The sequence below is a fragment of the Homo sapiens genome, chromosome 10 (assembly GCF_000001405.40).
Source record: "Homo sapiens chromosome 10, GRCh38.p14 Primary Assembly".
Classification (NCBI taxonomy): Eukaryota; Metazoa; Chordata; class Mammalia; order Primates; family Hominidae; genus Homo; species Homo sapiens.
The window spans coordinates 33,555,345-33,567,261 of NC_000010.11; the positions used below are offsets into that span (position 1 = coordinate 33,555,345).

General features: G+C 43.1%; 1 annotated feature.

Moving 5' to 3' along the window:
• Positions 11,001–11,502: an enhancer, noted in NCBI's record as "NANOG hESC enhancer chr10:33855273-33855774 (GRCh37/hg19 assembly coordinates)". NCBI's record gives its function as "activates a minimal SCP1, AML or CMV promoter by ChIP-STARR-seq in naive H9 embryonic stem cells {active_cell/tissue: H9 hESC(naive)}" and the evidence as "EXISTENCE:reporter gene assay evidence [ECO:0000049][PMID:30033119]".

The following is an 11,917-nucleotide window of genomic DNA, read 5'->3' on the forward strand; positions in this document are numbered from 1 at the left end:
CGCAAGCCCTGGGAAGCTGGGCTCCACCACGGAGCTCTGAGTTATAGTGATCTCTCTCATTTTCATCAAATCATGACACCTTTCAGCATGACATCAAACAACAAAGGAGGTTTGAAATATTTGAAATTTAGGGGACAGATGCAGTGGCTCATGCCTGTAATCCCAGTGTTTTGGGAAGTCAAGGTGGGAGAATTGCTGGAGGCCAGGAGATCAAGACCAGCCTGGGCAGCATAGGAAGATCCTATCTGATATGGTTTGGAGGTTTGTCCCCTCCAAATCTCCTGCTGAGAGGTGCTTTCCAGTGTTGGAGGTGGAGCCTGGTGGGAGGTGTTTGGGTCATGAGGGTGGATCCCTCATGAATGGCTTGGTTTCATCCTTGTGAATATGCATTGATTTCTCTCTCTATTAATTCTTGCAAGATCTAATAGTTAAAAAGAGCCTGGCACCTCCTCCTTGCTTTCTTGCTCCCTTTCTCACCATGTGACATGCCTGCTCCCCTTCTCCCTTCTACCATGAGTAAAAGCTTCCTGAGGACCTCACCAGAGGCTGAGCAGATAGATGTTGGTGTCATGCTTATAAAGCCTGCAGAACCATGAGCCAAATAAACCTCCTTTCTCTATGAATCACCTAGTCTCAGGTATTTTTTTATAGCAACACAATGGACTAACACACTAAGTCTACAAAAATATTTAAAAATTAGCCTGGCACAATGGTGTGCACCTGTAGTCTCAGCTACCTGGAGGCTGAGAAGTGAGGATCACTTGGACCCAGAAGTTCAAGGCTGCAGTGAGCTATGATTGTGCTACTGCACTCCAGACTGGATGACAAAAAAAGAAAAAGAAAAAGAAAGAAAGAAAAAGAAATCTTTGGGTTCACCATTGCAGTCACCTAATGAGTGGTCAGTAAATGTTAGGCAGGATTTTAATATTGGCCAATCTGTGTCAGGACATTGTAGCATAGCAGGCACAGTGTCATGCCTAAAATTAGAGTGACTCTTGAGGGTGAGAGGGAGCACCATTAATAATTTCACTGAGACAAGGGCAGAAAATGGGACAGCCCCAAACTTAGAGCCATCCTCACTCAAATCATGTCCTATTTCTTCAGCATGGGTCTTGCCTGCAGCTATCGGGAGGGTCCCCCTTTTCCAGTGAATGCTGCTTTCAGTGTGACCTCTCCCCTGGCTTAGATGGGCCTGATTCCTGATTGAGATCCATCTACTTGTCATCCGTCTTCCCTGGACCCCACCTAAAAAAGCAACAACTGTGACTGGCTCACAGGCTAGCCGGCTCAAACAGTACATTGTCCTGGAGCTGATGCAAAGGGCAAAATCATTCATGGTGTCTGGCCACTGGCTCCTTCCATCAAGATAAAGCCCTCTTCAGCGGGGAACTCTAGCCACGGAAGCACTCCTGGGCGCCCAAACACAGCCGCCCCTCTCATCAGCCCACAGCCGCGGTAGCACTTAGAGCCACAGATGACAAAGACCCTTCACAGAGGGGATCGATGACAGGGTGAGCGGAGGAGAGCTGGCAGGAACAAAGATCCTCTGGTGCTCAGAATCTGCTCTGTCCTCCAGGGAAAGGCAAGCGAACATTGTGCTGGTGATCATTTCTGCACCTGCCCGCCTGCCCCTCCCAAACACACACTCTCATTTTTTTTTTAAAGTCAGTTGTCACTAAGAAAAAAAAAATCTGCTGCAGCGAAGTTTTTTTTCATTCTCTGTGATAACCATGCCAAATGTAATGTTTATAAGGTGAAGAATGGAGGAAAAAAGACCTCTTTCTGACTATTCTCTCAGACAAATCCTTGGAAAAAGTAAAATTCTATCAAACCACTTTTTTAAAACTTGAAATTACTGGATTAGAAGAGAGTGTGTAAAATCTACTGCTTCATTTTCTTTTTTTTTTTTCCAGGAGGATAAGCATTCATAGCTTTTTTAGTCTACACATTGCATTTTTCCTCCCCATCTTCCCTGTTCCTGCAACTCAAAAATGAGAGTTAATAATGCCTGCCTCTCCTGCCTCTGAGGATTTTGTGAGGATGATAATAATAAAATAACATGAATACTCTGTGTTTCTGTGGTACTGTTTAGTTAATAAAGCACTTTCACTTCATCTTCCAACAACCCAGTGAGGTGGGTGATATGAGTTGCTGCACCTCAATGTGGGCTGAAAGCCTCACATGACACAAAACACCAGGCATCGTGCTCATTGATGGGGTCACTGTTAAAAATGATGATAATGAGTATCCACATTTTCAGCAGGACAGAATGGCTGGAATACTTCATAGGCTGCTCCAGGCATCCTCTACTACTGTATTTTTGCTTCCCAAAGAAGTGGGTGAATTGAGGTATGCTAGGGTTAGTTGTGGCAGGGTTGGGACAACAGCTCCATTTGTTATACCACGCCTCCTAGTGCCCGCCCTTTCTAAATCCTGTATCCCCTAGAAAGATTGTGAACTTATTCAGCTTAATTCTCTCCTACTCCAGTGAGCCCTCACTGCCTTCCACCTGTCTTGGTCACATCATTCCGTAGTCAAGAGTGTCTGTGGTCCATGAGACAGCATGGAAGCCCACCTCCAGCATCCCTCCGGAAAGCCAACATGGTACAATCTCTTGTTTCTGTGCAGCTTGGCACTTTGTCTCAGACGCAGGAGTCGGGCAGGAAGAACAAGGCCTTTTCAATCTCTGACTAAACTTCAGAAATTAAACTGCTGAAATTAAATGGATTTTTCAAAATGTCACTTGAGTTTTTGTTTGTTTGTTTGTTTCTTTTTGAGACGGAGTTTCACTCTTGTTGCCCAAGCCGGAGTGCAATGGCGTGATCTTGGCTCACTGCAACCTCCACCTCCCGGGTACAAGTGATTCTCCTTCCTCAGCCTCCTGAGTAGCTGGGATTACAGGCGCACGCCACCACGCCCAGCTAATTTTGTATTTTTAGTGGAGACGGGGTTTCTCCATGTTGGCCAGGCTGGTCTCAAACTCCTGACCTCAGATGATCTGCCCACCTCGGCCTCCCAAAGTACTGGGATTATAGGCGTGAGCCACGGCGCCTGGCCGCCACTTGAATTTTAGATGACATTTCCCACCTAGAATCCTACTCCTTCATTGATGACAGCCACCTTCTCCTTGGTCCAGTGTCACTGCTCTCTTTGGTCTCAGATGGTGTTTCCTTGGGGAGCCTTTGAGGAGTTCTCCGAGTTCTTCTGTGGGCAGCCACAGCACTTTGAGGTCACCCACCTGTAGCAGCGTCATCTCTTGTTTTCTCTGTTATCACTATCAGTTTTCAAGACGATGAGCTTCTTGAAGGCAAGAACTATGATGCCTTTATCTTTCCATTTAAGGCACCTAGTTCATGGTTAACAAGTATTTTTTAAATGAGTTGATAAGATGAATGAGTTAATCAAAGTGGCTTGGAGGAGAGAGAAAGTACTCGCCATCTGGGCTTGCATGGAGCACCTAGACTCATGGGGGATCTGTCAGATGACTGTACTCACCAGAATCACAGTGATTGGAGTTAATCCTGCACCCTCAAAGTTACCTCTGCTTCACTCTATCTTTACACTGCAAAAGCATCATCCATCAACCACCTATCAACCCACAAGTTTCAAAGATTATTTTACAAGGTGGTGGGGAGTATACGTGTGAATTTTTCATAAAGTTCTCATTTAAGGGAAAGATCAGAAAATAATGAGCTAAGTTTTTCTAACAGTCACCACTCTGGTTTCTTGAGGCCCTGAGCACGGAGCTAGGCACACTCTCTTTGCTGACTGGAGCTACTGACTTACGTGGACACCCAGGCTACTCAAATGCTGCAGTAGGGCAGAAGTGAACACCAGGCGGTCAGGACGCAGTGCAGTTGCTCTGGGATTCATCTCTGCCCCTCCCTCAGTCAGTGCCAAATATGAATGAATCATCTCCTGGCTTGGATAACCTGCATCTGCTGCAATGCATTGCTGGCACTCATCTTCTATCGCATTTCAGTTCCTTCAGACAAGTCCCACTTTGCATGATTGATCATTATTTTTACTTTCATGAGGTTTAGGTGGGTGGGATGAAAACCACAGCAAAACAGTATGGCAGGAAGTTCCCTTGCAAAAGATTCATGTATTACCTTTGGGTTATGGCTTCTTAAAACCCAAATTCTTAAGTGTTCTGAGGTTAAAAGCTTCCTATTTGCCACAAAGTTTAAGAATGATGATTTAGCTTGTGTTAGTTTACAAATGCAATTTTGCATTTGGCTGTCTTTAGATGAATTAGTCTTTAATTTTCACGGGGGAAGGTCACTATTAGAGAGATGGATTCTGGATTCCCGACAGAGCTCATTTGGGAAATGAAACTGAGGAATTCTGCTTAAGATACACAGTCTACCTCTTCTCCAGAAATGTTCTTGGTTGGGAGTGAGGTGAGAAGGGAACTGGCTGAGTGGTTCAGGTCTGGAAAGTGTGTTAGGTTGTTCTAGATCACTGAGGTAAATGGAGGAAAAATAAGGGTGTAGTAACAGCCTATAAACTTTTCCTTCGATTTCCTTTCTCCTTGTCTCCCAATAAGTAGATTAAAATAGGAAGGAATCCTGAATCTAATTAATCTCATCATAATATTTTAATTTTATAATTATAGCTACCATTTATCATTCAATAATAATGACTTATTATTTGTTAACCATACCATGTGTAGCCCAATGAGCTGGCCACTGTTATTACCCATATTTTACAGATGAGGAAACTGCTGCTCAGAGCTGCGATGTCACCTGCCTAAGGTCACACTACTTAACACATGGCAGAGCCAGCATCATAACTGAAACTGAGGTTCGTCGGATGCTGCAGTCAATGCTGTATGCACCTCTTTTCTATTTTCTTTCTTGTTTAGAGGATAAGAAGAAGGACATCCTCCGGTGTTAGAGGACCTGTTCTAAGTCACACATCTGGCTAGTGGCACTGCCGTGATAATCACCACGGTCTCTTGACCCAAGGCTCTCCCTCCACTGTGTATGGCCCTGTCACCATAGTACCCGACACGGAAACCATACAACCACATAGCTTCAATATTCTGAGACACTTCCAATTCCTTACAATCGTTTTCTTTTTGATAAGAATTATTTCTATTGTATACCTAAATAATGTGTTTTTATAGACTTCTCTTTGTTCTATCCACAAATTCACAACTTATTTCATAAGGTACTGCTTTTTAGATCATAGTTTTTAATTTTCAGTTGGGAAAAAATGGCCACTCTAAAGAGATGCCCCACATATAGCTTTGGAACAAGGGTGTGTGTGGCAATTAAGCTACCCTAAGTGTAATCTGAGTGGGCAGCGAATGGGAATTGAAGGGCTCTGAAAAGCTGATGTATTCCACCCCATCCATCCATTTCCCTGACTGAGGGTCTAAGATTCCTGATATTGAAGTCACTTCTTTGGGTGAAGGTATTGTATCACCAGTTACAACAGACATGTGATATTGCTTATTGTCTGTTTACCTCTTGCTTCAATGCATGGACTCCACAAGTTTTCTGGGAAGAGGTTAAAGTGAGGAGACCAAGGGAAGGCAAGTTTTGGCAGAAGTGGAATTCAGGAAAGAGTCAGGGCAGGAAAACTCAATACTAACAGTTATTTTAGATAGAAATAAGGCCCAAGGGGACACTTGGGGTTGAGGTTAGTCAATATAGGAAGAAAAGATTTTTGCCAAGTTAAAAAAAAATTATGATTCTCTTGCTAGCTAAGATACTTTCAAGAAATATTTAGGAATAGTTTGGGTAGTACATGGGTGACACAGTGCCACATATTCAAAGTAGAGAACCCAAGGAAACAGAGAAGGGTCCAAAAAGGTATATAAGGGGACTGAAAGACAAACTCACCCTGCTAACAAGTTCATGAAGTCCTGTCACTGACGCCTGGTTATGGTTCCTTGAAAGGGCAGCCTTGCCGTGGTGCCTGTCACACATGCCCCCAGTAGAGTTCAGATCAAATCATTCCCTCTGTGGGGATGGGGGTGGGGACATTGACACCCTGAACCTCTGAGTCTGTACAGCACAATCAGCCCCCTGGGTCCCAGCTTTCTTCCTCATGTGCAAAGCAGGTGTGTCCCCATGGTGTCCTGCAACTCTCTCTCCATCGCTTCCCCTGCCATGGCACATGCTGCCCAGTGCGTACCTAGAAGGGCTGGTGGGCACTCAGATGGGGGAAGGTGAAGAAAGGTCATGGGTGCCACCATATTCCAGTGACCACATCGGCCACCACCACCTCTGCCCTTCACCTGAGATTCAATCAGCCACACAACAAATCACCCGGTATTCTCATCAGATCAGACAACGTCTTCATTCACTCTCAGGTGTGGGGGACATGATTCAAACCAGAGATAAGGTCCCAAGAGGGCCTTGCTGCTAAATTGGTTGGATAAGTGGCAAGCGCAGCAAATCAGCCCTTAGTGAGTTTAGCATTTGAGAATCACCATGATTATTGCTTGATGGGAGAAAAGGGAGAAGATGAGCTAGGAAACCAAGTACCCTACCCCTGACGTCCTATTGTTGAGTAATCAGGGCCAATCATAGACCCATGGTGCGAAGAAGAAGGCTTTGTTAATCACAGTGTGCAGAAAATTATATTTTGGCTAAGGAAAGCCTCTTTAGCATGCATTTTGCCTACTGTGTGGGTTTGGGGGGAAATTATGTAACAAGGAGAGGTGTTGCTTATGGGAAGCAAAGTGGCACCCTCTGTGCCCCCCACCATTCCTGTCTCAGACTCCAGGAAACTGCTTCCATTTTCTTACAGCTGCCAGGAGCAGGCAGCGGGCACCAGCACCTCCTTCCTTAAGTGAGCCCGGACACCCTGGATGGGATTTGTCCACGGGGAGACTTTAGAGGGTGATATCCCACTACTGCCCGCAGTTCACTTGGTGGAAGTTTATTCAAAAGCATTTCCCTGAATCTTAGGGGGTGAGTGCCTCTCTGACAGCCAAACAGAATGTGACTTCTTTCTTCCACCGTTCCCAGCAAAGCATGCAACCCCTGACTCTCAGTGGGGAATTTACTTGCTGAAAATAGCAGATCCTGGACTGGCTGCTTCTTAGACCTCCTAATTCACCGCCATTGGTTCCCCATTCCTCTGCTGGCACAGACTCGGGACTTCTGAAACAAGTTTAATAGCAACCTAATTTCAATCAAGATATTGACTAAAATTTTTGTTTTTGGTAAAAAGAATAACAATACAAATAAATATAAAATGTCACTTGGAGGTCAAACGTCTTATGAAAGTAAATACTGCGCTTGTTTTTTAAGGCAGTCAACGTTATTAAGATCCCCCACTTAGAAGATGGAGACTGGTTGGTTCTCCACTGTAGTAGGCTAGAAGTGCTGAGAAAAAAAGCCTGGGTAGCTTTCTTCATGCTGCCTCGGTCCTTTGGGTGGGAGGTTGGAGTGCAGTAAGGAGAGAAAATCAGTAAGAAGGTGGAAAGGAAGCAAAAGAGCTTAGGACTAGTCCTAGCAAAAGCAGAGACACTACCAGAGCCTCTCTGGCATCTTTGTTCCCTCCAGTGTGGGAAAATGATACCTGGAATGAACTGTGAGAGTATGGCACCTTTTCCACACCCCTGATCTTTCTTTCCCTTTGGAAGGACTTCCATTAGCACTAGACTCTTGGCCTCTCTCTTTACAAACCTTCACTCTTTCCTCCACAGTGACAAGGAGTAAGTAACCAAGAACAGGTCAAGAATGTTTGAATCTCAGTTTTATAGGTGGTATGAGATATTGGGTTAAGATTTCAAGACATTCCTCCAAGCCACCTTCCAAATGTATTTGTAAGTTTCTTCACGCTGAGGGTCATGCAATATACTTCTTTGTGAATATCTGTCAACACCCGTTCTTTCACGGAACAGTGGTAATGTTTGGGAAAATGCTAGCTTCCTTTTCTTTTTTGCATTTTTGTGTATTTCTCCAACATGAGGCAGCCTTGGCCCAGTTATGAAGAGGAAGCACCGTGGTTAGGCAGAGGTGGCTTATTTGGTGGTCCAAGCCTATGTGGGTCTACTGAACCAATAGATGGTGGCTGTTAAGGTGCCTGAGAGACATATAGGCTGGGTCAGGGACAGATGGGGGATACGCCAGACACTCGGCAGTGACTGCAGCACCATCAGCTGATGAGAAAAGGCCAAACCTTCAGGGACCTGACCAACTTGCACAGGAATAGGCCATGAGTTCATCAGCCATAGTGACCAAGAGCACCACCAACATGTGGATCAGCTCTGGCAGCTAGAGCAGAGTCAAATCCGCTTTGGGGGCCCCTTTCCCCAGGCGATGTAAGTCAGCCCAGCATCTGCGGTCCCTGGAGTAACATCTCAGAGACAAGCCAGGAGACAGAGGACCAATCTGAAAGACTGCTCAATTGTACCGAAAAGGCTAAGTTAAACCTCAAAAGAGAGTGTCAATTTTTGTTTCCAATGGAGATTTAAACTGATCTAAAGATTTTCTCCCACTACCTAGCAAATGGGCTCCCAGCTCATAAAAAAGATCAGGTCAGTTAGAGATTAAATAAAGAATCCATATCCTCTTCAAACATCCTATTTGTAGTAGGAATAATGTTGGCCAGGCTTTTGGTATCATCTATGTATTAAAATAGCAGTGTTGGCCAGGCACGGTGGCTCATGCTTGTAATCCCAGCATTTTGGGAGAGCGAGGTGGGTGGATCACTTGAGGTCAGGAGTTCAAGACCAGCCTGGCCAACATGGACAAACCCCATCTCTACTAAAAATAAGAAAAAAAATTAGCCGGGCATGGTGGTGGGAGCCTGTAATCCCAGCTATTCGGGAGGCTGAGACAGGAGAATCACTTGAACCCAGGAGGCAGAGGTTTCAGTGAGCTGAGATCGTGCCATTGCGCTACAGCCTGGGCAACAAGAGTGAAACTCCATCTTAAAAAAAAAAAAAGAATAATGTTGTGATCACGCTATATCCATTCCTTCATCCATAGTGATCATACACCTGCTACACATTAAGAATTGTGCTAGGCACTCAGGATACTGATTGAACTTGAGGAAGATGATGGAGTTTTTTGGTCCAGCAACAATGCTGTCTGCCTAGACAATAACAGAGGGGCCTTTACATGTGCTGGAAAAGTTGGACTCTTCAGCTAAGATATGTGCCTTAAATAGCTTAAGTCTTCTAAAGTTCTAATTCTCTGGCAAAATAGTTATTATTCCACTGAGAGTAACTGGCTTAAGGTTATTGCTGCTGACTTTTCTGCAATGGGATGAAATATGGACTATAATGAGACCACAGAAGGAAAGCATAGAGCCCGACCAACAGTGGCTCCAAATATTTGTTCAGTAACATTTATGAATCAAAATATCATTGTGGCCAGGCATGGTGGCTCACGCCTGTAATCACAGCACTTTGGGAGGCCAAGGAAGGGGGATCACTTGAGCCTAGGAGTTTGAGACCAGCCTGGGCAACATTGTGAAACCCTGTCTCTACCAAAAAAAAAAAAAATAGCTAGGCATGATGGTGCGTTCCTGTAGTTAGTCGTAGCTACTTGGGAGGCTGAAGTGGGAGGATTGCTTGAGCCTGGGAGATGGAGGCTGCAGGGAGCCAAGATTGTGCCACTGCACTCCAGCCTGGGCAACAGAGCAAGACCTTGTCTCAAAAAAAAATTATCTAAATATATAATTATATATCATTATATTATATATAAATAAATATATATTATATTATTATATATAATATATAAATATTTTAATTATATATAATTATATAATATATATTTATATAAATAATTTATATAGAATATAATTATGTATATATTTATACATAATTATATATATATACTTTTATATATATAAAAAATTGTAAAGCCATTCCTCAGGGCAATGAAAGAGTTAGGTAGTTTATGGAGACCTAATCAGCTGTGCAAGTTTTCTAAACCCCATTGTAAAACTGATGAATCCAAAGCACAGGAGAAATTATGAAATCTATCACACTGATAATTGGTACAAGAGGAAATACAAATAACAAACATGGAGAAATAATTTATATCTTCACAAGCATAACCAAAGAACTGCATACTAAAGCAAACTTGAGGATTTATTTTCACCTGAATTAGCAAAAAAAAAATAGTATCAGCAATTTGCTTAAAAAAACAGTGTTATACATTCACTGCTATATTACTGTTGGCATTGGTATTATAAACATTTTTGGGGAAAGAAATATGACAAAGAACAGGCAGAACAACAAAGACTGTCATAAACTGTAGCCTAGTAATTTTATTCCTAAGACTTTATCCCAAGAAAATAATTCAGTAGAAGCAAAAACCCTATGAAGAAAGAGGAAACGAAAAAAAGTCACAATTTGAACAGTCAACAAGACATTGTAGTTACATTACACAATAAATTAAGATGCAGACACTGAGAAAAATAGCTAAGAAAAATATATGGCAATGTGAAAAATGTGAAGTGTTATTAAAATAAAAAGCAGAGCTAAAATGATACTACAATTGCAGCTATATAAAACATGAACATTATAATAAGCAAAAAATGGCAGCAGTTGTGTTGAGATGGCATGATTACCATTTTTTCAACATTTTTAACATTGTTAAACATCTCATTTCAAATAAAAATGTATTCACAAATAAAATCTAAGGTCTCCCTCAAATATATAATGGTGCATTGTCTGATAAATTTCAAAAATAGTCCCACGTATGATAGCTGCACTTCGGGGGCTGGGAAATGGCTTTTAACCAAGATCTATAAGGAGCGTGTTGAGTGGTTTGAGGTGTGTTCAGAATAGAAGCAGCACGTAGAGAAAAGTCATCGCTTCTTCCAGGAACCACATTAACCAGCTCCCTATCACTCAGCACATCAGACACGGCCTCAGGCTTCCCAGAACTCCCACATTCTGGTGGAAATACTCTACAGAAAGCATGGAACAGCCAAGCCAACCAGCCAGGCTGAAAGGTTTTTAATTAGATCAGAAGGGTCCAGTGTGATCTGGATTTCACATGAAATCTATTTTTTTCATCTATTTTCTTATACTCAAATACTACTATTGTTAGTGTCTCTAGGAGACATTCAGCCTGGTTTAACTTATTATTTATTATTTTATTACTTTATCTTATTTTAATTATACAAATGTTACTTTTTATAAGACACATTACTTCCTGGGTATTTGAAAAGGAACCTACCAGGGCCCTTCATCTAAGCTTACTCACAAAAACAATGTCATGGATCTTTTTATTCAAGTGCAGAACGGCAAGGAACTGAAAGGGGCAAGGAAGCTGGCCCACCCCTTTTGTTTGTGCTCAGCACTTTTGATCCCAAGACTTCCTGAGAGAAAAGACAGCACAAACCACCCATGCAGAGAGGCAGAGTGCAGCTGAGTTTTCTATTGCTCCAATTTCCTCAGGAGGACCACCTCGGAGTGACAAGAAACGGAGAGACCATAATGCTGCTATTTTATGTTTTATTTATTTTATTTTATTTTATTTATTTATTTATTTTGAGACGGAATCTCACTCTGTCACCCAGGCTAGAATGCAGTGGCACGATCTTGGCTCACTGCAACTTCCCCCTCCCAGGTTCAAGTGATTCTCCTGCATCAGCCTCCCGAGTAGCTGGGATTACAGGCGTGTGCCACCATGCCTGGCTAATTTTTGTATTTTTAGTAGAGACGGGGTTTCCCCATGTTGCCAAAGCTGGTCTCAAACTCCTGACCTCAAGTGATCCACCCACCTCAGCCTCCCAAAGTGCTGGGATTACAGGCGTGAGCCACCACACCCGGCCAAAGCTGCTATTTTAATAAATAGATGATACCAAAAGCCTTAGCCGGCATTTTACAAAACCTCTTCTCTGGCAGAGGAGGGTTCTCCCTGGCATCTCCATGCACCTTCAGCAAACTCAGGTGACTTGTGCAGCGCGGTGGGTTAATGTTTCAGTTTCA